General features: G+C 55.6%; 3 protein-coding genes, 2 long non-coding RNA genes and 1 pseudogene across 19 annotated transcripts in view, besides 6 other annotated features; 3 read left to right on the forward strand and 3 right to left on the reverse strand.

Moving 5' to 3' along the window:
• The window catches only part of LOC105371493 (uncharacterized), a 16,507-nt gene extending 11,353 nt beyond the window's left edge, over nucleotides 1-5,154 (reverse strand). The window contains exons 1-4 of one of the 2 annotated variants that reach the window (XR_007065579.1): nucleotides 3,621-5,154; nucleotides 2,618-2,740; nucleotides 1,575-1,753; nucleotides 315-412 (exon numbers count right to left, since the gene is read on the reverse strand). This is a non-coding gene — a long non-coding RNA (uncharacterized LOC105371493). Of the gene's footprint in view, nucleotides 1-314; nucleotides 413-1,574; nucleotides 1,754-2,617 lie in introns of both variants that reach the window. The other variant, XR_001752759.2, reaches the window with a different exon arrangement.
• CTNS (cystinosin, lysosomal cystine transporter) overlaps nucleotides 1-13,254 on the forward strand; it is a 26,645-nt gene extending 13,391 nt beyond the window's left edge. For 5 of the 12 annotated variants that reach the window (NM_001031681.3, XM_006721463.4, XM_011523691.3 and 2 more), the window contains 8 exons: nucleotides 5,149-5,252; nucleotides 5,372-5,503; nucleotides 6,638-6,737; nucleotides 6,827-6,946; nucleotides 8,156-8,326; nucleotides 10,009-10,126; nucleotides 10,387-10,501; nucleotides 10,768-13,254. In NM_001031681.3, coding sequence (NP_001026851.2) covers nucleotides 5,149-5,252; nucleotides 5,372-5,503; nucleotides 6,638-6,737; nucleotides 6,827-6,946; nucleotides 8,156-8,326; nucleotides 10,009-10,126; nucleotides 10,387-10,501; nucleotides 10,768-10,885 — 978 coding nt within the window. In that variant the 3' untranslated portion in view covers nucleotides 10,886-13,254. The other 7 variants (NM_004937.3, NM_001374493.1, NM_001374495.1 and 4 more) reach the window with 3 other exon arrangements.
• Nucleotides 4,488-5,206: an enhancer, noted in NCBI's record as "H3K4me1 hESC enhancer chr17:3557631-3558349 (GRCh37/hg19 assembly coordinates)". NCBI's record gives its function as "activates a minimal SCP1, AML or CMV promoter by ChIP-STARR-seq in naive H9 embryonic stem cells {active_cell/tissue: H9 hESC(naive)}" and the evidence as "EXISTENCE:reporter gene assay evidence [ECO:0000049][PMID:30033119]".
• The window catches only part of P2RX5-TAX1BP3 (P2RX5-TAX1BP3 readthrough (NMD candidate)), a 33,512-nt gene continuing 23,372 nt past the window's right edge, over nucleotides 13,044-23,183 (reverse strand). The window contains exons 12-15 of the long non-coding RNA NR_037928.1: nucleotides 19,209-22,644; nucleotides 14,830-14,949; nucleotides 14,346-14,423; nucleotides 13,044-14,036 (exon numbers count right to left, since the gene is read on the reverse strand). This is a non-coding gene — a long non-coding RNA (P2RX5-TAX1BP3 readthrough (NMD candidate)). The remainder of the gene's footprint in view (nucleotides 14,037-14,345; nucleotides 14,424-14,829; nucleotides 14,950-19,208; nucleotides 22,645-23,183) is intronic.
• TAX1BP3 (Tax1 binding protein 3) lies at nucleotides 13,046-18,729 on the reverse strand. Of its 2 annotated transcripts, NM_014604.4 has the most exons (4): nucleotides 18,639-18,729; nucleotides 14,830-14,949; nucleotides 14,346-14,423; nucleotides 13,046-14,036 (listed from the first exon to the last, which is right to left on the reverse strand). In NM_014604.4, exons 1-4 carry the CDS (start codon nucleotides 18,675-18,677, stop codon nucleotides 13,899-13,901), a joined length of 375 nt encoding a protein of 124 aa, NP_055419.1. In that variant the 5' UTR covers nucleotides 18,678-18,729; the 3' UTR covers nucleotides 13,046-13,898. The 2 variants fall into 2 exon arrangements, with proteins under 2 accessions (NP_055419.1, NP_001191627.1); NM_001204698.2 differs by lacking the exon at nucleotides 14,346-14,423.
• On the forward strand, nucleotides 15,328-15,891 carry RPL21P125 (ribosomal protein L21 pseudogene 125; annotated as a pseudogene).
• Nucleotides 17,523-18,054: an enhancer, noted in NCBI's record as "H3K27ac-H3K4me1 hESC enhancer chr17:3570666-3571197 (GRCh37/hg19 assembly coordinates)". NCBI's record gives its function as "activates a minimal SCP1, AML or CMV promoter by ChIP-STARR-seq in primed H9 embryonic stem cells {active_cell/tissue: H9 hESC(primed)}" and the evidence as "EXISTENCE:reporter gene assay evidence [ECO:0000049][PMID:30033119]".
• Nucleotides 18,055-18,585: an enhancer, noted in NCBI's record as "H3K27ac hESC enhancer chr17:3571198-3571728 (GRCh37/hg19 assembly coordinates)". NCBI's record gives its function as "activates a minimal SCP1, AML or CMV promoter by ChIP-STARR-seq in primed H9 embryonic stem cells {active_cell/tissue: H9 hESC(primed)}" and the evidence as "EXISTENCE:reporter gene assay evidence [ECO:0000049][PMID:30033119]".
• Nucleotides 18,677-19,016: a silencer, noted in NCBI's record as "silent region_8017". NCBI's record gives its function as "represses an Ori minimal core promoter by ATAC-STARR-seq in GM12878 lymphoblastoid cells {active_cell/tissue: GM12878}" and the evidence as "EXISTENCE:reporter gene assay evidence [ECO:0000049][PMID:35858748]".
• On the forward strand, nucleotides 18,963-19,816 carry EMC6 (ER membrane protein complex subunit 6). Of its 2 annotated transcripts, none has more exons than NM_001014764.3 (2): nucleotides 18,963-19,163; nucleotides 19,249-19,816. In NM_001014764.3, the coding sequence occupies exon 2, from the start codon at nucleotides 19,298-19,300 to the stop codon at nucleotides 19,628-19,630; it is 333 nt and encodes a 110-aa protein (NP_001014764.1). In that variant the 5' UTR covers nucleotides 18,963-19,163; nucleotides 19,249-19,297; the 3' UTR covers nucleotides 19,631-19,816. The 2 variants fall into 2 exon arrangements, with proteins under 2 accessions (NP_001014764.1, NP_112588.1); NM_031298.4 differs by having other exon boundaries at nucleotides 18,963-19,050.
• Nucleotides 19,118-19,648: an enhancer, noted in NCBI's record as "NANOG-H3K27ac-H3K4me1 hESC enhancer chr17:3572261-3572791 (GRCh37/hg19 assembly coordinates)". NCBI's record gives its function as "activates a minimal SCP1, AML or CMV promoter by ChIP-STARR-seq in primed H9 embryonic stem cells {active_cell/tissue: H9 hESC(primed)}" and the evidence as "EXISTENCE:reporter gene assay evidence [ECO:0000049][PMID:30033119]".
• Nucleotides 19,649-20,179: an enhancer, noted in NCBI's record as "NANOG-H3K27ac-H3K4me1 hESC enhancer chr17:3572792-3573322 (GRCh37/hg19 assembly coordinates)". NCBI's record gives its function as "activates a minimal SCP1, AML or CMV promoter by ChIP-STARR-seq in naive H9 embryonic stem cells {active_cell/tissue: H9 hESC(naive)}" and the evidence as "EXISTENCE:reporter gene assay evidence [ECO:0000049][PMID:30033119]".

The following is a 23,183-nucleotide window of genomic DNA, read 5'->3' on the forward strand; positions in this document are numbered from 1 at the left end:
TGAACGCAAGTCACTCAGGGCGCATAACTTCTGGAGAGCTATTGTACAACCTGGCGATATAGTTAACAATCATGTATTACTGCATGCCTAAAAACTGCTAAGAGATAGATCCTAAATGTTCCCACCACAGCTGGGTGCAGTGGCTTGCACCTATAGTCCTAGCTACTCACGTTCGTAACAACAACAAAAAAAAGATAAGTATCTGAGATGATGGATATTAATTAGCTTGATTTAGTCATTTCACAATGTATGCATACATCAAAGCATCACGTTATATACTGCAAATATATACACTTTTTATTTGTCAATGATACCTTAATAAAGCTGGTGGAAGCAGGAGGAGAAGAATGCAGGGATGAGATCAGTAGCCATGAGGCACATCAAGATGGGCTGCAAATCAGCTCTGAGCCCCCTAGGAAGCAAACAGGAGTGAAACACGATCAGTCTCCAGCATGTGGGAACCTGTGATCTGAAAAATATAGCATCGCTGGCTGCAGAGATGTGCACCTGTAATCCCAGCTACTTGGGAGGCTGAGGCAGGAGAATCACTTGAGCCCAGGAACTCAAGGCTGCAGTGAGCCATGACTGTACCACTGCCCTCCAGCCTGAGTGTTGGAGCAAGACTCTGTCTCTAAAAAATTAAAAATAAAAATAAAATGTTTAAAAATAACAGCATTGCTGAGAGGGGATCTCGGAGTGTCCAGCTAAGAGGACCCCGCATGAGAGGGAGCTCTCCCCGCTGGTGAGCACCTTGTTAGTGCCATTTCCCACACCTCCCCTCTTGCCCAGGGTGTGAGGCCAGCATGCAGAGCCGGTGGGTTCCCACAGCACAGCCCTCTGATCCACAGATTAAATTCTGACTCTGGGAGGAACAGATGCTGATTGCTTCGTTTAGGGCCAAACATCGAAGTCAAAGTGTCATCTTTTTATTTTTATGTATTCATTTATTTTTTATTTTATTTATTTGTTTAGAGACAGAGCTTCACTCTGTCGCCCAGGTTGGAGTAAAGTGGCGCAATCTCAGCTCCCTGCAACCTCTGCCTCCTGGGTTCAAGCGATTCTCCTGCCTCAGCCTCCCAAGTAGCTGGGATTATAGGCGCCCACCACCAGGCCCAGCTAATTTTTGTATTTTTAGTAGAGATGGGGTTTCACCATGTTGACTAGGCTGGTCTTGAACTCCTGACCTGAGGTGATCCACCCGCCACGGCCTCCTAAAGTGCTGGGATTACAGGTGTGAGCCACTGGCCCGGCCATTGATTGATTGAGACAGAGTCTCACTTTGTAGCCCAGGCTGGAGTGCAATGGCGCAATCTCAGCTCACCGCAACCTCCACCTCCCAAGTTTAATCAATTATCCTGCCCCAGCCTCCCGAGTAGCTGGGATTACAGGCACACACCACCACACCCGGCTAATTTTTGTGTTTTTAGTAGAGATGGGGTTTCACCATGTTTGCCAGGCTGGTCTTGAACTCCTGGCCTCAGGCGATCCGCCCACCTCGGCCTCCCAAAGTGCTGGGATTACAGGAGCCACCACGCCTGGCCAAAGTGTCCTCTTTTTAAAATCAAAAAAGATACCAAACAAGCCTTGGCTGTAGGAGTCCTTGAACCTGAAGCACAAACAGATCCAGCAAATCCATGGTGTCAGTCAGGGTAGCAGTGACCCTCGGGGCCAGCGGAGGCTGGAGGAAGCAAGCAGGGGTTCCGAGGACTTGGGAATGTTTCATTTCTTCATCTGGGAGCTGGATGCATTCAGTCTGTAGACATTTCATCAAGCTGTGATGTGTGTACTTCTCTACCTATATGTCATAGTTCAGTTTTTAAAAAAGTCTTCAACAGTGAGAGGCTGGGCACCGTGGGATTACATCTGTAATCCCAGCACTTTGGGAGGCCGAGGTGGGCGGATCACCTGAGGTCAGGAGTTCAAGACCAGCCTGGCCAACATGGTGAAACCCCGTCTCTACTAAAAATACAAAAATTAGCCAGGTGGTAGTGGTGTGCGCCTATAATCCCAGCTACTCAGGAGGCTGAGGCAGGAGAATCACTTGAACCCGGGAGGCAGAGGTGGCAGTGAGCTGAGATCACGCCACTGCACTCCAGCCTGGGTGACAGAATGAGACCCTGTCTCAAAAAAAAAGAAAAGAAAAGAAAAGTCTTTAACAATGAGAGTCAAACCATTGGTGTGAGATGGCATTGATGGGCACCAACCTACCTTTTCAGGCTCCTGCCTCACTGGCCCTTCCCCACCCAACTCTCACCACTCCCCTCTACTACCCGTGATGCTGGAAGCCTCTGGTTAGAACATGGGAGTTGAGTGGTCTAGGAGCCAGGCCTGTGAGCCTTGGGTAAGGCACTTCACCCCAATATAGCACCGTCTCCTTATTCGTAGCTGTACAGTGAATAATGTTTACTTGACAGCCTTGTGAAGATTAAAAGCACAAACAAGTATAAAATGTCTAGGATTGACTGGGCACGGTGGCTCATGCCTGTAATCCCAGCACTTCGGGAGGCCGAGGCAGGCAGATCACCTGAGGTTGGGAGCTCAAGACCAGCCTGGCCAACATGATGAAACCCAGTCTCTACTAAAAATACAAAAATTAGCCAAGCGTGGTGGCAAGTACCTGTAATCCCAGCTACTTAGGAGGCTGAGGCAGGAAAATCACTTGAACCCGGGAGGCAGAGGTTGCAGCGAGCCGAAATCATGCCATTGCACTCCAGCCTGGGTGACATGAGCAAAACTCCATCTAAAAAAATAAAAAATGTCTAGGATTGTCCCTGGCACATAGAAAGCACTCAGTGAAAGGTAGCGATTATCACTTCATTCTGTCTTGTATCGGTCAATCGACTGATTTTCTCCCTGCCTAGTTCCAGAAGGGATTTAGTGGCCACTTAACAAATATGCAAGCAACGTTGCAAGGAATATCTGTTAAAAATAAGAAAAAGTGAGTGGCAGGAAAATAAAAGAGCCAGGAGTGGCACATGTTATGAAGATGTACCTTGTGAGACGTGGACGTAAGTTGGACTCCAGGCTTTGCTGCAGCCGCTATACCATTTCAGTTGTCCTGCCAAAGCCCCTGATTTCTGATGCTAAGAACAAGAAGGCAGTGCTTCAAGGGTCCTCATTAAGAAGCCACTGAAGGATGTGGTAGAGCGCCTGTAGTCCCAGCTACTCAGGAGGCTGAGGCGGGAGGATCGCTTGAGCCCAGGAGTTGGAGTGATCAGTGAGCTATAGTTGCACCACTGCACTACAGCCTGAGCTACAGAGCAAGACCTGCCTCTCGGAAGGCCGGGCATGGTGGCTCACGCCTGTAATCCCACCACTTTGGGAGGCCGAAGCGGGTGGATCACCTGAGGTCAGAAGATCGAGACCAGCCTGGCCAACATGGCGAAACCCCATCTCTACGAAAAATACAAAAAATTAGCTGGGTATGGTTGTGGGCACCTGTAATCCCAACTACTCAGGAGGCTGAGGCAGGAGAATCACTTGAACCCTGGGGGCGGAGATTGCAGTGAGCCAAGATCATGCCACTGCATTCCAGACTGGCAACAGAGTGAGATTCCATCTCAAAACATATATAATAATAGGAAACCACTGCAGTCTAATGAGCCAGATCCTCACGGTACCTGCAATATGGGTGGAGTATTATCCAGGGAGCACAGAAGCTGGGGACCAGGGGAGACAGCTGGGTTCAGTAAGGATATCATCCTGCTCCCCATCACTGCAGCAGGATTTAAGAGTCTCAGGAAGCACTGGGTGCGGTGGCTCACACCTGTAATCCCAGCACTTTGGGAGGCCAAGGTGGGTGGATCACTTGAGGCTGGGAGTTTGAGACCAGGCTGACCAACATGGTGAAACCCCGTCTCTACTAAAAATACAAAAATTAGCCAGACGTGGTGGCACACGCCTATAATTCCAGCTACTCGGGAGGCTGAGGCGGGAGAATCGCTTGAACCCAGGAGGAGGAGTTTGCAGTGAGCTGAGATCGCGCCATTGCACTCCAGCCTGGGCAACAAGAGCAAAACTCCATCTCGGGGGAAAAATAAAGTCTCAGCAGGCATGCTTGGGAGATCAGATGTTGTAGGCAGGCCTCCGGGTACTTTCCTTGAAGCAGAGCATTTGCCAAATATTGCAGAGCAGCAAGGGTGAAAATGCCCTCTTTGCCAAGTGCCTCATGTATGTGCCTCCTCTGCTTTGTCACTTGGCAGCCAGGCTGGCACAGGGCACACATGGTTTTGTGGACAAGGAGGAGCCCAGTGATGATGGAAGTGGAAGTGATGGTATTGTAGTATAGCAGTGGCCCCGTTTGCCATGCACCAGGCTCTGTGCTGTCAGCTTTCTGAACATCCTGTCATTCATGGCAGCCCTGAAGGGTAGACACTTTTGTTAACTCGTTTTACAGATGAGCAAACTGAGATCAGAGCTTGAATAACTTGCCCAAGGTGACATGTCCAGTAAGAGGACGAGAGCCATCCCTCCTTCCCTCAGAGATAAGCCAGGGGAGGGCATGAGGACAAGTCCATAGCTCTGCTCAGAAAGTCTCACCCAGGCCAGGTATGGTGGCTCATGCCTGTAATCCCAGCACTTTGGGAGGCCGAGGTGGGCGGATCACCTGAGGTCAGGAGTTCGAGACCAGCCTGGCCAACATAGTGAAAGTCCATCTCTACTAAAAATTCAAAAATTAGCTGGGCATGGTGGCGCACACCTGTAATCCCAGGTACTCGGGACTCAGGAGCCTAAGGCAGGAGAACCGCTTGAACTCGGGAGGCAGAGGTTGCAGTGAGCCGAGATCACTCCACTACACTCCAGCCTGGGTGACAGAGCGAGACTCCGTCTCAAAAAAAAAAAAAAAAAGGAAAGTCTCACTCAGGCCAGGCGCGGTGGCTCACATCTATAATCCCAGCACTTTGGGAGGCTGAGGCGGGTAGATTGCTTGAGCTCAGGAGTTCGAGACCAGCCTGGGCAGCATGGCGAACAGGAGGTTCAAGTTGGCTGGTGGGCGCAGCGTCTCTCCTTTTGCTTAGTAAGCTCTTGGAAGGTGAGGCTGCGGGTGGTGCGTCCCTCCGTTCCCTAGCGTGTTGCATAGAGCTAGATGCCAGCGGGGTCCTCGGTAACTGTACGTGGCATCGGATTGAACCTCAGTCTTCCTAACAGGTTGTGGTGCCTCCTGGAGTGACAAACTCCTCTTTTCAAGTGACATCTCAAAATGTTGGACAACTTACTGTTTATCTACATGGAAATCACTCCAATCAGACCGGGTAGGCTGGCCTCAGGGTGTGCGGGCCTCACGTGACAAGAAGGGGGCCGTGCTGGGCACGTGGGAGTCTCCTTCAGAAGCCCAGCCTCAGCTCATCCCGGTCCCCAAACTCCTTTCCAGCCCGAGGATACGCTTTCTTGTGATCCGCAGCAGCGCCATTAGCATCATAAACCAGGTGATTGGCTGGATCTACTTTGTGGCCTGGTCCATCTCCTTCTACCCTCAGGTGATCATGAATTGGAGGCGGAAAAGGTAACCCCCTGGGCCGTATGTGCAGGCTCTCTCGGGGCCCCTAGGAGCAGGGCGTTCCAGCAAGGCTGCCGATAGCGCAGCCTCCAACGTCCCCTCTACCCTTCTGTCTGCCTACCCTTTCCAGAAAGTTGTCCCAGTGCGAAGGCTCGGAGAGCCTGGGTCGGATTCCCGTGCTGGGCGTTTCATCCCTTGCCCAGCTCAGCCCCTCCCTGGGAAAGCAGGAAAACAGGGAAAAGGGGCTCCTTAGTTTAGTGGAGAATGGGCGGGGGAGGGAGGGCAGTCCATCGTGAATCTCCTCTGCGCTGGGTCCATCCGACCCTGGAGGATTGCGGCGTCAAGTCCTGTAGTCTCGGTCTTTGGGACGAAGCTGTCCCACCTTGACTTGCAAAGACACAAGCTGTCCTGCAGTCACCCTGGCCACGTCGGCCTCCTGGGTGATGGCAAGCAGAGAGCCGGGAGGGAGACGCTTTCTTCCGGGGGCCTCCTGACTCCCCTCTGGAGCCAGGACTTGAGGGGCAGGGAGATCTTGGGCAGGGGAGGAAGGGAGGAGGGAAGTAGCTCTTCAAGAGGGCAGGGATTAGGTGGCATCCGTGGTGGTAGCAGGAGGGACCTAAGGACAGTACCCTGCTTGAGAAGGGCCGAGTCCTCCTTCCCCGTGGCCTGGGAGCCCTGTCCCTCCCATTCCCCACAGTGGTGCCAGTCCTCACCCCTGGCCCTGCCATGCCCTTCCACCCCCGCCAGCCCTCACCCCCTGCCCTGCCCCTCCACCCCTCGCCAGTCCTCGCCCCTGGCCCTGCCATGCCCTTCCACCCCCGCCAGCCCTCACCCCCTGCCATGCCCCTCCACCCCCGCCAGTCCTTACCCACTGCCCTGCCCCTCCACCCCCCACCAGTCCTCACCCCCTGGGGTCCTCACCCCTGCCCTGCCCCTCCACCCCTGCCAGTCCTCACCCCCTGCCCTGCCCCACCACCCCTCGCCAGTCCTTACCCCCCACCCTGCCCTGCCCCTCCACCCCCGCCAGTCCTCACCCTCTGCCCTGCCCCTCCACCCCCGCCAGTCCTCACCCTCTGCCCTGTCCCTCCACCCCTGCCAGTCTTCACCCCCTGCCCTGTCTTGTCCCTCCACCCCCTGCAGTGTCATTGGTCTGAGCTTCGACTTCGTGGCTCTGAACCTGACGGGCTTCGTGGCCTACAGTGTATTCAACATCGGCCTCCTCTGGGTGCCCTACATCAAGGTACGGCCTTGCCTGCCCTACATCTCTGCCCACATGGCGTGGTGGCCCGGCTGCCCCTCACCACCCAGCTTCTCCCACCCACCAAACAGGAGCAGTTTCTCCTCAAATACCCCAACGGAGTGAACCCCGTGAACAGCAACGACGTCTTCTTCAGCCTGCACGCGGTTGTCCTCACGCTGATCATCATCGTGCAGTGCTGCCTGTATGAGGTGAGACCAGCCCTGGCCCCCCACAGGCCACCCCAGCCAACACCCGCCACCCCACCTCACCTTTGACAGAAGACACGGCAGAGCCTGGGAAAGGAAGGGTGTGTGTTCATTCATCCAGGTCCTGTGCTGGGCATAGAAGACACCCATGAGTCCAGGCCCTCAGAGCCCCCCAAGTCTGGGGTGAGGGACTCAGGGAGAGGCAGTGCCTGGACTCAGGCTGAGAGCCGTGCACAGAGGAGCACAGACAGCTCATGGAGGAGTGCAAGGCCCTGAGCCCTGCCAGGGAGGAGGGAGGAGGGCACAGAAGGGAGGAGGGAGGAGGGCACAGAAGGGAGGAGGGCAGAGGAAGACGCTTGGTTGGGCTCCAAGGATGAGTGAAGTTCCTATGGAGGAGGGGAGGGGCCAGGGTGGGCTCCTGGAGGGGTCAGGTCACAGAGGCCAAGGGGCATTTGAGAGGGACCCTGAGCAGGCGGGTGCAGCTGGGCTTCAGGGTGCCAGGAGGGGGCCCGCGTGCAGGCGGAGACACCTGTATTCAGCTTTGTTGCTGGAAGCCATGGGTGTCGGCAGGGCAGGGCCCCACCAAGGCTGGGTCCGGGGACCCCTGATATGACAGCTTTGCTTTCCCTTCTCTCAGGGAGTTCCCTTCACACTGTAAGGCCAGCTGGGGGCTGTCTGGCCCCACCCGTATGAACCTTCTAGGCTTTCTTAGCTTTTGGTGTGAAGCGAGAGTGAAGGTGGCCCACATTGGGCCCGTGTTCAGGGAAAGGCAAGGCGAGGGGACAGATTCCTGAGATCCTCAGGCTGCTGCCGGGTCGTGGGACGAGTCAGTACCTGGCTGGGAGAGGCACCAGGCCACCAGAGTTCCGACCCCACGTCTCCAAGTGAGTGCTGAGAGGCGCCCAGTTCTGCCAAGTAGGAACAAAGCAGACAGAGCTTGAGAGTCCAAGCAGCCTGAACAGGAGGCCCTGGCGATGAGAAGGTGTGGTTGGTGCTGGGGATGTCCAGCACCAGCCCAGGTGTGATGCTTTCTGTGGTCCACATGTTCCCCTGCCACAACCCCAGTGCAGCCCCCACCTTGCAGGGGCTCCTTCAAGGCCAGGGTCCAGCCTCCGTGCCCCTCTCTAAGCCCGCCCTATCCGGGGCCGTCCTTGCTCAGCCCCGGCGTGGCCTCTGTGTGGGTCCACATCTCTGCCCTCCTCTCGCCCCCAGCGCGGTGGCCAGCGCGTGTCCTGGCCTGCCATCGGCTTCCTGGTGCTCGCGTGGCTCTTCGCATTTGTCACCATGATCGTGGCTGCAGTGGGAGTGACCACGTGGCTGCAGTTTCTCTTCTGCTTCTCCTACATCAAGCTCGCAGTCACGCTGGTCAAGTATTTTCCACAGGTACCTCCAGGGCCCTGTTCACATGGCCGGTGGCAGGAGAGGTGAGAGCTACATGGCCCAGGCCCTGCTCCGGTGGGGCAGCTCCTGCCGGCGTGAGGAAACAGGACGGAAAGCCACAGGGAGCCCGGGAGCCCAGCGGGAGCGGGGCGGTGGGGAGGCCAGCCTGCCGCTCTTCCCCCGGGGCTGGAATCACAGGAGATCGCTAGCGGAGGCCCCTTGGACCCCACGCTCCCCTAAGCATCAGGTGTGCGGGTGGTTCCCCTTCTCCACACCCCAGCCTTTCCTGATGCCTTTGGCTCTGCCCTCACCACTGCCTCCATTTCCACAGCAGGACACTCTGGAGAGGTGAGGTGGGAGGAGGGAGCCCCTTCCCGCGCAGAGCTCAGCCCGTCCTATGAGCATAGCCGGTCCTCTTCAGATCCGGGGACTCAGGGTCCAGCACATCTTGCCCCACAGCCTGGGACAGGGTCAGGGCTGAAGTTGCTGCACCCGGGGACCTAGGGCCTCATTTAACTCACCCCATTCCCAAAGGGAGAAGCCTTGTTCCAGTGCCCCCAGCCCTGGGAGCCTCGTGTTCTGTGAGCTCAGGAGGGCCAGCGTTCTGACTGGGAGGCAGGACTGGACTCTTAGGCTGAGCAGGACTAAGTTCTGTGGCCAAGGAGCCCGGGCGTTCCGGGCCAGGCCAGCCTGCACAGAGGCTGGGGCGGGACACGGGGCGGCAGTGAGGGGATGTGGCTGGTTGAACAGTGTTGAGCATGTTGAAGCTGGGAAGCTGGGGTCAGGTCCCGGGAGCTGGGGGGGGCTTCCGAGGAGGGGAAGGTTTGGGGAAGTGGGCCCCAGTCCCTGAGGGTGGGAGGGATTGGGGCCAAGAAACCGGGGATGGAGGAGCCCAGGTTGGAGACGTTTGGAACTGCTGGAGGGGCAGCAGCAAGTACGGAAGAGGGTGAGCCGGGACACAGACAGGGACTGACTAGAGGCTCACTGGGAGGCCACCAGAGAGGCCAGGACCTGCCTCACGGGGGGAAGGAAAGGTCACAGCAGTCAGAGGACCCACAGGGCTCTGCAGCATGGGAGGACGTGGGGCACAGGCAGTCAGACTGGGGCGCATCCCCGCAGACCCGCCCCCCCAACCAGACCCAGGAAGCCCCGGCCAGGCCTGTGGGGGGCGTTAACCCCGCTCTACAGACGGGGAAACCAAGGCTAGGAGAACTGTCACTTGCCCAAGACAGCAGGCTCCGGTGATGGAGCCAGGATTCCAAACCAGAAGTCCCACTCCCACCAGTCCCTAAGCACATGAAGTCCAGGCTGAGTTTGGGGACAGCCTTGCCTGGAGGTGAGAAGAAGAATCATAGCTACAGGGAAACTAGCACAGGGCCTTGGCCCCAGGGATGTGGAGGAGACGGGGAAGGCCGCATCGGCCCCGCCTCTGCTGGAGCTGTGAGGTGTGGGGGGTGCGGGGCCTTTGCTTGCTGTACATGCAGATGAGACGCCTACCCCCAGGACCACCCAAACTGTTCCTTGGCTGAGGCCTGTCATAGCCCAAAGGTCACCGTGTCCTTGGAGCCAAGGCCCCAGTGGGAGGAATGAGAACCGCTTTTGTTTGGAGGGGCAGTCACGAGGCGCATGAGGCAGCCGCCCAGCCCTCACCGCCCTCCGTCTGTCTGTCCGTCTGTCTGGCCCAGGCCTACATGAACTTTTACTACAAAAGCACTGAGGGCTGGAGCATTGGCAACGTGCTCCTGGACTTCACCGGGGGCAGCTTCAGCCTCCTGCAGATGTTCCTCCAGTCCTACAACAACGGTGAGTCAGCCAGCGGGCTGCTGGCCACCCTGCGGCTGGGGCATCGGGCGGGGCCAGCCTTCCCGGGACCTTCCAGCCAGGGCTCCACCCCCACCTGGGATCCAAGCCAATCCAGCCCCCAAGGAGAGACCCACCTAGGGGCCTTCGTAGCTGGAGGCTTTGTGGTTTTCTGGGACCCCCACCGCCCACCACCCCACAAGCTCCAGCTGCCTCAGGAGCTGCCAACCTAACACCAGCTTCTGTCCCCCGGCTGCTAACAGACCAGTGGACGCTGATCTTCGGAGACCCAACCAAGTTTGGACTCGGGGTCTTCTCCATCGTCTTCGACGTCGTCTTCTTCATCCAGCACTTCTGTTTGTACAGAAAGAGACCGGGGTATGACCAGCTGAACTAGCACCCAGGGACCCAGTGTACCCAGCCTCTGGCCTCGTGCCCTGCTGGGGAAGGCCTCACCCAGCGAAGGCCGGAGAAGCGGTTGGGCCCTGGCACACAGGGCTGGCTCAGTGTGCGGACAGAGGAGACCACTCTGCTCCTGGGGCCAGAGGCCATTCAATAGCCTGCCTTCGTCCGGGCCCCTCCTGGGCCTCCCCGGCCAGGCACGTGGCACCGTCGCCTTGACACCGCCATCTCTTTTCTTTAAGGCTTCAGGCAGCGCGCACAGGCTCTGGCAGCCGTCTCAGGCAGGACTGGGCACCAAGCTTGCAGCCGAAGGCCTTGCCCCAAACTACCAGCGTTTCTGCAAGCAGCTTGAAGGGCTGACCTTGCAGCCGGGTGAGCCAAGGGCACTTTGCTGCCACCGCTGCATTCCCAGAGATCAAGCAGCCCGGTGCCGTGGCCAGTGAACTCAGAGGTGCTGGTGGACGGGCTAGGACTTTGGGGTTAGGCCATGGGGCTCTTTCTCTGAAGGCCACTTTCCTGACGTACTCTCTGTACATAACTCAGCGTCCGTGACTGCAGTAACAGCCAGCCCTACCCAGAGTATTTCTGAGCCATGAGGGGCCCACCAGATTGGTTCTGAATTGGATTCATGCCCAGCGCATTAGCATAGTAACTCCTTTCAGATTTTTTGGAGGGACGTTTGGAAGTGGCTTACTCTCTTCTGCCCTCTCTCCTACCTCCACCTTCTCAGATTAGCCCCATCTGAGCACATCCAGCTGCTCCTTACCCAGCATCTGGAGTACAGGACATAGCTCTCTCCTGCTACCAGTCTGTGCCTTAGAGGTCTGTTAGGCCTGCCAAACGGCGACCAGCTCCCCTGGAGCGAGGGCAGGCCCCTTCCCTCTCTTTCCCCAGACACCTACTTGAGACTCACCAATTTCTGGCCTGTTCAGGAGCCTCAGATAAGTATTTGTACTTGAGACCACCTCACACAATCTGTATGGGCCCAACCCTGATCTCAAACCTCCTTCCCTCTGCCCAAAGCTGTCCTTCCTATGGCAGGAGGGGTGGGGGTCCCAGGACGTGCCTCATACATGACTTGAGCTTGTCAGTCCACTGAGTTTCCTTCTACGAGATCAACGCGAGGGGCCTGTATCTTGAATTAAAACCTACTCGCTTCCTTTCTGCACTCTGTGTGCTCGATACAGAAGGCAGGTGTGCTGGCCTTCAGAGCCAGGTGCCCTGCTCCCCTCGTGTAAGGAAGCGCATAAGGTTGTGAAGGTCACTGACCCGAGAGCGCTGCGTGCTGACCCCACACTTCACTGGGGAGCCCTCTTGGGTAGCGCGAGACGCCTACCCGCCCAGGGCCAGGTCAGTCTCCCAGGCTCCGTGTCTTCACGGTTACCAGGGCACGCCACTCAATCTGGATGTGAGCCGGGGTGGATGAGGTTCTGAAGGGCACACCAGCACTGGGAGCGGGGGCAGTGGGGGTCTTATTCTCCAGACGCTTCCTCTATCTAGTTGTAACAAACGTCAAAGAATGTCAGGTCTTGTTTCTGCAGAGCAGACTTTGGCCTGACGGGGTCCACAGACCTGTTTCACTTGCAACACCCAGTAAATGTGTTACTGGGTGCCCTACTTTAAAAATCAGAGATTTCAAATGATTGACTTTTCCGGCTGAGTGCGGTGGCTCACGCCTGTAATCCCAGCACTTTGGGAGGCCAAGGCAGATGGATCACCTGACATCAGGAGTTCGAGACCAGCCTAGCCAACATTGCAAAACCCCATCTCTACTAAAGATACAAAAATTAGCTGGGCATGGTGGCGGGCACCTGTAATCCCAGCTACTTGGTTGGCTGAGGCAGGAGAATTACTTGAACCCAGGAGGCGGAGGTTGCAGTGAGCGAAGATCACGCCATTGCACTCCAGCCTGGGCAACAAGAACGAAACTCCATCTCAAAAAAAAAAAAAAATTATTGACTTTTCTTTAAAATCTGATTTGGCAGTGCTAGGTAGGTCCAGGAGTGCTAACACCTTCCCAGAGGTGGTACGCAGGTAGTCAGGTGCTCTCTGACTCACCCCCATCTGGCCAGATCACGGCCCCCAGCAACACGTGGGGTTGTGTCCCTCGCTGGGATACACGGAGTGCCCTTATAGGCAGGGAGTCTTATAGGCAGGGGTCTCTCCCAGGCACCTCTGGGTGTCCCTACGGCCCCTCCCAGGTGGGAGCTGAGGCTAGGTTGCAAAAAGGAGGTTGGGAGCAAGTAGGGGCTTCACAGTAACACCCAAGAAAGCACACGCACCCCAGGGTCCCACCCCAGTGCTCCCAGACACTCCCACAGATGTGGTTCTGGTCAGGCGCAGTGCAGCTGCTGCGGCTCCACCAGCCCCGGGCTTTCAGGCAGGTGGGCCTGGGAGTAGTTGAGCTTTGTCCCAGAACAGTGGGGGATGGGGCCATCATTAAAACCACAGCTCTGGCCCCAATATCCCACCGCCACCCCCACCCCGATATCCCAGCCCATGCCTCAGCAAAGCCCCCTGTGAATTCCAGCATTTTTATTGAGCGCACCACATCGGGGAGGGGCGGCAGTGGTTTCCACGGTAACCAAAGTAAGGCTTGTGCACTTGCTGAGCTTCCAGATGCGAATTAGTAAAAGCTAAATTCAAAAGTAGAATGGGCATCTCCAAAGAGTACGATAAAAACATTTTGTATCAAACTTGTGATTAAAAAAATACAAAAGTTAAACCCACAGGCAAAGAGGAAAATGACAATCCTGAGAGCTGCCCTGATAGGTGAGCCTCGAACCTCGTCTAAATCCGTAAGAAGGCAAACCCTGGGGAGGCCAGCACCCCTCGGGAGAGTGGGAGTGAACGCGGAGCCCACCTGGCTTCATCTGGGCAAAGCTTCGTAGCGCCTCTGGCAGGATGTGTGTCCAGTCCCCCGAGGGGCAGAGGCACTGCGGTGTGGACACACGAGGGCTGGGGGGCAGGGGCGGAGCCGAACCCTGCAGCCAGGCAAAAGCGGGAAAGGCCTGGTTCCTCCAGCATTTCCCAGCTTTTGGGGGCTCCCAAGAGATAGTGGTTCCCACTTGCCCAGCCACTGCTGTGGCCAAGCAGCAGGGTCGGACCTGAGCCTGTGGTCACAGCAGACTGGCTACTACTCAGCTCCAGGCCCTTATTTCCAATCCTCGGTGTCCAGGAGAGAAAGCCGGTCCCAGAGGCCCCAGGCCAGGGATGGGAGAAGGGAAGGAAGGCCAGGCCAGGCCTCTGGGACCAGCTATAGCCCTTCTGAGCTGGGGCCCAGCGGTCAGCAGAAGCCAGATGGGGACAGAGTGTGGAAGTGGCGTTACTGTACAGAGAGGCGGCAGGCAGGAGTCGCAGATGGTGGTGGCTGCTAGGACAGCATGGACTGCTGCACGGCCTTCTGCAGCGACTGCCGCGTCACCAGCAGACGCACCACCTCCTCCGAGCGCTTGGTGAGCCGCTTGCGGGCCTGGTCGTGTGTGACCATGGTCATGTCCCAGCCGTTCACCTGGCCCCAGGAGAGAACACAGGCTCACCTCAGCTCCCCGCCCTCTGGGATCTGGAAGCAGAGGGCTTTGGGGGCCCAGGTCATTCAAGTAGGCCCCCAGCCTAACATCCCAGGGCTGGGAGACACCAAGCACTGTGGCTGAGACACACAGGAGAGAAAGCCAGCGTCCTCTGGGGCAATGCCAGTATGGGTTCCCAATTGGCTGCAGTGAGTCTCTCCCAGCTGGGAGGCTGGGGCAGCTCCCCACCCCCAAGTGCTTCAGACCTGCTTGCCCAAACCTTGTTTCTCCTCCTTTGGGACACCTGTTACCTGCATGATCTTGTCTCCAATCTGCAGCCCAGCGATTTCAGCAGGGCCTCCTTCAGACACCCGTGTGACATAAATACCCTGGAAAGGGGCAGCCCAAGTCAAGCCCTGTGGTCACTGGACTGGCCCCTTATCACACAGCGGAAGCCAGCATGGCACATTCTCAGCCGTCCCTCTGTCCCTGCACCCAGCCTCTCCCAGCACATATGGTCAGTGAGGACTGTTCTGAGAGAGCCGGGGCAGAGTTGCTGCACCACCATGCACCGGCCCTGCTGATGGCCGCCTCCTGCTCCTCCTGGGCTCTGTCTGAGCAGCCCTTCCTCACCCCACCCGTCCTTATTCTCACTAGGTCACTTCCGATGCCTTCTTAGAGAGCATGGTTTGAGAGATGAAGTCTGTTCCTTCCATGCAGGCCCAGGAAGCAGAGACCCACCATCTCAGGCCCCTGTGCCCCATGGAGCGGTCCCAGGACCCCAGACCCCCTCACCTTGTCCGTCTTGTCTTCAGAGAAGGGATTCTGGGAAGGATCCTGGTCGATTCCACCTCCAATGCTGAAACCCAGGATTAAGTTCTCACCTTGACGCAGCTTGTGAATTTCAACTCTTTGCTGGCAAAGAAAAAAGCCAGTTGAGAGAAGTGGGTGGTTGGAGAATTAGGCTGGTGGGTGTTCCCAGCAGCAGCCTCAGAGCCATGACAAGGGGCTGGGTCCCAGGCCCCTGCAGGAATCCAGCTGCTCACCAGCCTGGGAGGCTGAGGAGCTGGCACTCAGAACTTGGCCACATTGATCCACCCACACAGCCCTGTGTCCTCAACCTGTCCCCACTTCCCCTGTTAGTCTTAGGCACTAGTCTTGGTCAACATGTGGTGGAAGCCCCTGCTGGCCCAAGAGTCCAGGTGCTGTGGCTTCTGTAGGTGGGAAGCCCGTCTCACAGGAGGTGCTCTGGAAAAGCAGAGATCAAACTTGCATAGAAAGGAGAGGAAGGGGTTTCCTTTCGGCCGGAACCGCCATCTTCCAGTAATTCGCCAAAATGACGAACACAAAGGGAAAGAGGAGAGGCACCGGATATATGTTCTCTAGGCCTTTTAGAAAACATGGAGATGTTCCTTTGGCCACATATATGCGAATCTATAAGAAAGGTGATACTGTAGACATCAAGGGAATGGGTACTGTTCAAAAAGGAATGCCCCACAAGGGTTACCATGGCAAAACTGGAAGAGTCTACAATGTTCCCCAGCATGCTGTTGGCATTGTTGTAAACAAACAAGTTAAGGGCAAGATTCTTGCCAAGAGAATTAATGTGCGTATTGAGCACATAAAGCACTCTAAGAGCCGAGATAGCTTCCTGGAACGCGTGAAGGAAAATGATCAGAAAAAGAAAGAAGCCAAAGAGAAAGGTACCTGGGTTCAACTAAAGCACCAGCCTGCTCCACCCAGGGAAGCACACTTTGTGAGAACCAACGGGAAGGCGCCTGAGCTGCTGGAACCTATTCCCTATGAATTCATGGCATAATAGGTGTTAAACAAAAAAAAATAAAGGATCTCTGGGCTCCAAAAAAAAAAAAAAAAAAAAAAAGAAAGGAGAGGAAGGGCTTGCCGGCCACGGGGACCAGCGCACAGGGTGCCGTGGATACGTGTTCGTGAGACTGGAGTGTCCAGTGCAGGACACAGAACTGGGAGGCGAGATGAGGCTGAAAGTGTAAGGCTGGGGCCAGATCCCGTCCTGGAAGGGGAGCAGGGGTGTCTCCCTAAGCCCCAGACCCTGCTCTTGTGCAGAAACGAGTGTTCTGGGGCATTCCCACCATGCTCTGGGGTGTTCCCACCATGCTCTGGGGCTATGGTCCCCAACTGTGCCAGGTTCTTTTCAAAGCCCTTGGCAAGCGCCGTCCAGTCAGCAGATGCTGGGAGCCAGACCAGATCACTCCCAAAGTCAAGTTTTAACAGGAAGGAGAAAAGAAAAAAGCAGAAGACCACAATCTAGACTAGACCTAAAGAAGTTTCCCAAAGGGAGGATTATTTGCACCAGGCTTTGAGGGGGTGATGGGTAGCCTGACCTTGATCCTGAACCCACTGGAGTTCTCAGGAACGGAGTAGGGTAGGGCATGGTCAGGTTTGCTGCTAGAATGACCACTCAGGTAATCAGTAGAGGAACGGACATCTCACAAAAGCAAGGTGCAGAGGCCGGGGGACATGGAGCTACCTGAAAATGGAGATCTACAGACTTAGGGACCACTCATGGAGGAGAGGAGTCAAGAGGAGCACCCAGCCACCGTGCCTGGCTGAACACACATTATTCAGATGGGGACCCAGGAGGAGGAGGAGCAGGTTAGGTTGGAGTGCCAGGAGCTGCGGGGCAGGTGTCCAGAAGGCAGATGGATCTATGGAGCCAGGGTTCAGAAGAATGGCCTAAATGTCTTTAATATTCTCAGGATTCTACATGGGAGAGGGTGGGGACTGGGGAGTGAGCCTGCCCAAACCCATCCCCAATCCAAGACTCGAGGGAGAGGCCAGACCATACACACCATGTCCAGGCACGTTCCTGGTGTTACCAGAATTAGGGGGCATGGGCCTGCAGTTTTGGGGAAGGCCCTGGGACCAGTTATGGCGTGAGGGAGGGGGGCAGGAAGCATGAGGCCTACTGTGCCTGGGTCCTCATGCCCCAAACTGAGCTCCTCCAGGCCTGCTCTGCCGGCACGGTCAGAAGATTACAGGCCCTTGGGTTGGGAGACAGGGCTGTCACTGATTTGCTGGGTGAGGTCACGCAGAAGGTGGCTTGCTGTAGCTCCTCACCTGTCCCTGCCCCCCTTCTACCTAAAGAGCAAACCTGGTGCCTTCTCTCTGGGGCAGGTAGGGATCTAAAAAAGCCAGGCTGGGCCGGGTGTGGTGCCTCACGCCTGTAATCCCAGCACTTTGGGAGGCTGAGGCAGGTGGATCACCAGAGGTCAGGAGTTCAAGACAAGCCTGGCCAACATGGTGAAACCCCGTTCTACTAAAAATACAAAAATTAGCTGGGCATGCTGGTGCATGCCTGTAATCCCAGCTACTCGGGAGGCTGAGGCAGGAGAATCGCTTGAACCCAGGAGGCGGAGGTTGCAATGAACCGAGATCGCGCCACTGTACTCCAGCCTGGGCGACAGAGCAAGACTGTCTCAAAAAAAAAAAAAAAAAAAAAGTCAAGCTGGTGCAGGGAGGGTGAAGCTTAGGACAGCTGTCAGCTGGTCCAGCAATGTTTCCTCCTGGCCCAGGCCTGAGCCAGTGCTCTAAGCTCAGCCTCACTTGTCGCCTTTATCAGTGGCTTCTCTGCCTCCACCCACCTGATTGCTGGAGCTTCTCCAGCACACCCAACTGAGATAACACACCCAGTCCCTATGGCTCCAGGGCGGGGACTTTCGCTTGACCTACTGCCCACCGGGCAGGCATTTCTTCTCATTCTCTGAACGCTGTCGGGAGGTAGGCAGGAGACCTGAGTCTTTCCTGAGGTGGTCTTTTCTGGCTGAGCACTTCTCTCTGGGACTCCCCACCTCTGTCATAGGGTTGTGTCCCTCTGTGACACCGGCGTCTGAGTCTAACGTCCCAGCCTTCCTTCCTCCCTCTGCCTAGTCTAATAGCACCCAGCACCTAAAACAAGCCAGAGGGCGGCCAGGGGCCTAGGCTAGCCCCCGGAGGGTCTACTCAGGACTCAAGTGCCAGGAGGGAGGCCTGGACTTTTTTGCCTTAAGGGCTGGAGACCCAGGAAAAGTTCGAAGAGGAAACGCTCATCGCAGCTATACGAGCGTCCACCCTGGACCAGGCGGCGAGTGGGTTGGAGGAGCAAGGCTGGACAGGAAGGGGGCAGGGGCTGCCACGGCAGGCTCGGGAGAGCCCCACCCCCAGATCTCCCTCCGGGCGGCGGCGCAGGCTGCAGCGGAGGAAGCATTTCCTCATTCCAGAGGCTGCGACTCATGGACGTCGGGATCGGCGCCCGCCCCCAGCAGCTCCCCGTCTGGGGACACGGAGGCCCGGGAAGGGGGCGCTTTTCCAGGCTCCTGCAGCCAGGCCTTTCCCCGTGGCCCTCCCCGCCCTGCGCACGCAGTCTGGGCTCTGTCCAGGGTCTCGGGAGGCTCTCGGGTCCCGGCCATCCCTGTTTCGTGGCTGGGGGAACTGCGGCCCGCTCCGGCAAAGCGGGGACCCGAGCCCTTGCCGCCGGTTCGCAGGAGCCCCGGGTTCGATGCTCTGTCAACCTGCTTGGGGTGTCCGTTTCCCGCTCTGCGAGGTGGGGTCAGGCCAAGACGAGGAGGAGCCCGCGCAAGCGCACTCACCACCACGGCGGTGACCGGCTGGCCCGGGATGTAGGACATCTCGACCCTGCTCTGGTCGCCCAGCGCCGCTCCGAGAAGCCGGCAGCAGAGTACCCGCGGTCGCGCCCTCGCTGCTTAACAAAGGCCGCCCCGCTCGGCCCGCCCCCTCATGAATAGTTAACAAACCTCCAGCCAATCACTGGCCGGAGCGCCACTCCGCTTTCGGAAGTCCCTGCGCGTGCGCAGAAAAGCGGGCAGAGGGCGGAGCGTGTCCGGGGCGCCCACGGCGCAGGCGCGGAGGGCGGGGCGGGATCTGGGCGCGTGCGCAGCCCGAGACCTCCCGGCAGTCTTCCGAGCAAGATGGCGCCGCGGGCATTTCTTCCACTGCCCGTCTGAGGGAACGCTAAGTAGTGTGTCCGGCGCCGTGTTCCAGGTAACTGGGCCACCGTGGCCGGGGAACGCAGACGCGCCACCACCTCCCGGCCGGCCCGGACCCTCAATCTCCTCGGCGTCTTTGGAAGATCCGAGGCCCAGGACTGGTGCCAGGTCTCGGAAGCTCCAGGGGGAGGGGGCGGCGTGAACCCAACTCACCGAGCTCCGGGCGCCACTTGTAACTTGGTTTTCTCCGCAGCTCCGCGTTGTTCCGCGAGAAAGCGAGAGGCCGAGCCCGGGCTGGTGCGATGGCCGCGGTGGTGGCCAAGCGGGAAGGGCCGCCGTTCATCAGCGAGGCGGCCGTGCGGGGCAACGCCGCCGTCCTGGATTATTGCCGGACCTCGGTGTCAGCGCTGTCGGGGGCCACGGCCGGCATCCTCGGCCTCACCGGCCTCTACGGCTTCATCTTCTACCTGCTCGCCTCCGTCCTGCTCTCCCTGCTCCTCATTCTCAAGGCGGGAAGGAGGTGGAACAAATATTTCAAATCACGGAGACCTCTCTTTACAGGAGGCCTCATCGGGGGCCTCTTCACCTACGTCCTGTTCTGGACGTTCCTCTACGGCATGGTGCACGTCTACTGAAATGGGGGCCCGGGGGACTTTTTTAAAAAACCAGATCGGGAGGACTGTGGCCAGCAATTAACACCATGTAGACTTCCTTAGTTCTTAAGTGGTTGAATTCGCTGCTTGTTCTGTAACGTTATAAATAATTTATATCTGAAGACGGAGAGCCTGTAATATTCTTCAGATTAAATGAAGCGTGAGACACTTTGTGGAGTTCTTTCCTGCTGTAACGCTTAGGCTGCCACTGATGCAAAATCGCCGAGATTTGACTCCTGGAGAGCAAGGAATGGGCCATAGCCTTGTGTTAAGTCCTTGTATTTACACATAGGCCATTCAGAAACGGGCCCTAAGGGCCTACATAAGGAAAGAACTTATTAACATCCTAAGAAGCAGTAACAGTTAATATGTATTAAGAGCTCCCTGGGCCGGGCACGGTGGCTCATGTCTGTAATCCCAGCACTTTGGGAGGCCGAGGTGGGCGGATCACCTGAGGTCAGGAGTTCAAGACCAACCTGGCCAACATGGCAAAACTCCGTCTCTACTAAAAATATAAATATTAGCCGGGTGTGGTGGCGCGCGCCTGCAATGCCAGGTACTCGGGAGGCTGAGGAAAGAGAATCGCTTGAACCCTGGAGGCAGAGGTTGCAGCGAGCCGAGATCGTGCCACTGCATTCCAGCCTGGGTGATGGAGCAAGACTCCGTCTGTCTCTCAGGGAAAAAAAAAAAAAAAAGAGTTCCCTATATGCTGGCATTGTGACTTCTACTCTACACCGATCCTCTCATTTAATTTTAGCAATAACCTTACAGGGTAGATGTTATTGTTAGCTCCCTCGTAAGGAACCTGAGGCTCAGAGAGGTTAAATACTTCTCCCAGAGGAGATACAGCTAGGAAGAGACAGAGCCAGGATTCAAATGCAGGTCTCTTAATTTGCTCTTGATATGTTTGCTGGGTGTACCTTTCACAGGCCAGCGTTCCCTCCCACTAACCACTACTTTCAGGTATATATGGTGTCATTTTAGTTCCATTTCATTTAGTGACAGTCCTTTCCATAAGAAAAAATAAAGTCAAGCTGTATTTTTTAGAATATGTCTAGGGAAGATTAAACATTGTTTGGACATTTAGGCTGGGCACAGTGGCTCACGCCTGTAATCCTAGCACTTTGGGAGTCCGACGGCAGGCAGATCACCTGAGGTCAGGAGTTTGAGACAAGCCTGGCCAACATGGCGAAACCCCATCTCTACTAAAAATAAGATGCAAAAATTAGCCAGGCGTGGTGGTGGGCACCTGTAATCCCAGCTACTTGGGTGGCTGAGGTAGGAGAATCGCTTGAACCCTGGAGGTGGAGGTTGCAGTGAGCCAAGATCATACCACTGCACTCCAGCCTGGGTGACAGCAAGATTCCATCTCAAAAAAAACACAAAAATTGTTTGGACATTGAAGTTGAACTTTGGGCAGGTTTAGGGTGTAAACACCTCCATGTGTTAATCCATGATCCTTTCTTGTCAGGAGGGTTATTTTAGAATAAAACGCATTTGTGGCCGAGCACGGTGGCTCATGCCTGTAATCCCAGCACTTTGGGAGGCCGAGGTGGGCAGATCACCTGAGGTCAGGAGTTCGAGACCAGCCTGACCAACATGGAGAAACCCCATCTCTACTAAAAATACAAAATTAGCCGGGTGTGGTGGCACAGGCCTGTAATCCCAGCTACTAGGAAGGCTGAGGCAGGAGAATCTCTTGAACCTGGGAGGCAGAGGTTGCGGTGAGCCGAGATCATGCCATTGCACTCCGGCCTGGGCAACAAGAGCGAAACTCCCTCTCAAAAAAAAAAGAATAAAATGCATTTGTTTAATTGAGGAATAAATATTGCATTAGAATGACGGTAATTGCCTGAGTGTAGTGGCTCCTGCTGTGATCTCAGCACTTTGGGAGGCCAAGGCTTGAGCCCAGGAGATCAAGACCAGCCTGGGCAACATAGTGAGATGCCCATCTCTACAAAAAAACATTTAATTAGCCAGATGTGGTGGCATGTGCCTGTAGTCCCAGCTACTCAGGAGGCTGAGGTGGGAGGATCAGGATCACCTGGGCCCGGGAGGTTGAGGCCACAGTAAGCCACGATTTTGCCACTACACTCCAACCTAGGCAACAGCGAGACCCTGTCTAAAAAAAAAAGAAATTACAGTAATGAAAATGATGGTGCTCATTGGATTTATGGTTAACTGGGGAAACCAGCATCACCTAACTTCAGAAATACTTAAATCATGGTGAGTACTATGAAGAGGACATAGCAGACCTAGCCCAAGTTGGGGTATATGGAGGTCAAGGAAGTCTTCTCTGAGGAAATAACATTACATCTGAAACCCAAAAGTTGAATAACATAGGCAAGTGTGGGGAAGGAGTTACCTTCAGGAAAGCGCATGTTTCCAGGCCATTGGGCAGGAAGGAATGTGACTGTATTTAGAGAGTGAGAGAAGAGGCCACAGGGTAGACCCAGACCAGATCATGGAGGGCAGTAATGGGTGTGGGGACATGCGCCTGTAGTCCAGCTACTCAGGAGGCTGGAATGGGAAGATCAAGATCACTTGAGCCCAGGAGGTTGAGGCTGCAGTGAGCTCCCATTTGCCCTGGCCTTGATCCTCAGAGCAAATGGGGGAAGCCTTTGGAAGTTTTTAGTCTGAAGTGACGTAATCACATTTGGATTTTTTTTAAAAAAAGAATCTGTTTTAGATTGGAAGGGGATCTGAGAGCTTGAATCCAAGTCCCCTTTTGACAGATCATAGATAGCCCATGGCCAGTCATGGAAATGGATCTGGGACCCAGACCTGTTAAATTCCGTTTCGGCTTCAGGAACACATGCACACGACGCCAAGGAGAAGCTGAGGCCATAGCGTTGCCCCCCATCTCAGTGAGCCCTTTCTCTGCCCCCACTGAAGATCCTCAGTGGTTTGCCCACCTCAGTCCTCTCAGAACCTCCTCTGAGTGGGAAGGAAAGGTTCATTCCTGGTGTAAGGGAGAAGCAGAGGGAGTCCTCAGCCTGGTGGGAGAGGAGAAAAAAGGAAGAGGGATAAGCGAGCTGATGTACTTAACCATTTCCCTATTGTTGGGCAGTAAGTTTGAAATGTTCACTACTATAAAAAATACTGCAATGAATGTCTGCGTTTATATTGTTTTGAGAAAATTAATAAGTTCCTACAGCAGAGGATAAAAATTTGGTTCCAAGTTACTTCCAGAGTTGTGTTAGATTACACTACTTGAATGAAAAGTACCAGTTTTATCAGTTCCTTCCTAGTCTATAATTTTAATAGTTGCTCATTTAAAGCATTTCCATAATTTGAATTTCTTTGCAAGATGAGGAATATATTGCTTACTAATTGTTTCTTGTGTCTGCCTCTTTTGATCTTGCCTTCTTACATTTTCCTTTAAAATACGGGTAAAAATGGGCCAGGTGCGGTGGCTGTTGCCTGTAATCCCAGTACTTTGGGAGGCTGAGGTGGGCGGATCACAAGGTCAGGAGTTCAAGACCAGCCTGACCAACATGGTGAAACCCCGTCTCTACTAAAAATACAAAAAAAA

Source organism: Homo sapiens, chromosome 17, assembly GCF_000001405.40.
Source record: "Homo sapiens chromosome 17, GRCh38.p14 Primary Assembly".
Lineage (NCBI taxonomy): Eukaryota > Metazoa > Chordata > Mammalia > Primates > Hominidae > Homo > Homo sapiens.